Source organism: Homo sapiens, chromosome 2, assembly GCF_000001405.40.
Source record: "Homo sapiens chromosome 2, GRCh38.p14 Primary Assembly".
NCBI lineage: Eukaryota > Metazoa > Chordata > Mammalia > Primates > Hominidae > Homo > Homo sapiens.
The window spans coordinates 94,190,808-94,192,530 of NC_000002.12; positions in this window are offsets into that span (position 1 = coordinate 94,190,808).

The window sequence follows — 1,723 nt, forward strand, 5'->3', positions numbered from 1 at the left end:
TGAAATGTATTATTAAAGACATCATCCCCAATAATATTCCATATTCTCTGTTTAGGAACCCCAATTGTTTTCAAATTCAAGAATTCAGAGAAATCTACTTGTTACAAAAGAGTAGAATGGATAATGGGCACCACATCCTGAAGTGTATTTTAATAAAAATTCATGTAAGATGGTTCAAAATTTCATTAACTACTTTATATAAAAAAAATGCCTGGGAGAATTCTGTTTCTAGCAGAGTGGCAGACTGATGCCTTGAACAACCCTCTTATTACAAAACTGAATACTCCACATGAAAACAAATCTTTTCAAATGCATTGTTAAGCTGTGAAGAGAATAACGAAAATTCTAAGAAACCAAAATCTAAATGAAAACACAAGTCCAGGCAGGCACTGAAAACCTAAAAAAAAAAAAGAACTGAAGAGGCCAATTGTTGGCAAGCATGTGGAACAGCAGGAACTCTTTAAGCTGCTGCTGGTGGCGGAGGCCAAGCCACTGTGCTCCCCGAACACAACACAGAAGCCTCCACACTGAAGCAGAGCACAGGTGCCCTGGAGTCTCCACCCCACCCAGGGATCCTCCAGCAGAAGTGTGTGTGCCCCTGCATACCTGCAAGTCCCATATCCAGACCTAGTGTTCAGGGCCGTGGGATAACAGCCAAAAATAGGAAATCATTTTACTCATCAATGGAAAAATGGTGACACAGTCATATAATGGAACTCAACAATGACGATAAATCAATGTCTGCCATAGACAAGAACATGGATGTGTTCTGTAATACTGAACCAAAGAAGCCAGGCTAAATAGAATGTGCTGTATTTTATAGAAGTCAAAACCAGGCAGAACAAATCTACATCAGGAACTGGGAAAGTAGCTATTTTGTAGGTTGGGGCAGCAGTGCCTGGGAGAGGCCACAGGTCAAGGCTACTGCTTGGTCCAGGGCGTGGCAGCCTGGTGTGCTACAGTTCATCTAGATGCACACTTATGATTCGGGCACTCTTCTGTATGTACATTAACATTTCAATAAAAAGCTTATTAAAACATTAAAACTTTCAGAAAAATCCACATTGCTTCAGTAGAAATTAGCACATTAACGTTTAAAAAATACATGTATATGGTGGGGGAAAAAATAGTTCAAAAGAGTATCCAGTGAAAAGTTTAAGAGGGAGTGATGCCAGCAAGGGGCTGATCAATAACCCCTTGCACTCATCCCCTGACAAAGACAGCCAAAGCAGCAAACAGCTATATTTTGATGAAAGTCACTAAAGGAGAGCCCCAGAGTGCATCAAGGAGTAGCAGAAATCCAGTAGAGCCCGGAAAACAGGACAGTCACATAAAGGAGGGAAGGAAACATCTGGCCCCCACCACCCATTCCCCCAGAGGGATCAGCCTGAAGCAGAGGGGATGTCTCCCTGCAGGGATAAGGAAGCAAGAGGGGCCCAGTAGCCCCAGCACTCCCCTCAGAGAAGGAACTGACATTGTGCCCCACCCCCATGGACCAGCTGCTGCTGCAACGTGCCCTCCTGGACCTGGACCACTTCGGGAGCATGTCCCACCCAGGGTGAGCAGCCACCGCACCCTTCTTCCATCCTCAGGCTTTGTTGCTCTATATCACACCCACCTAGTGGCCCACCACCCCCGAGCCGCTGTTACACTGTCTTAGGCCATTTAGTGTGGCTGTAACACAATACTTGAGACTCGGGGTAACTTATTTTATAAAAAAGGT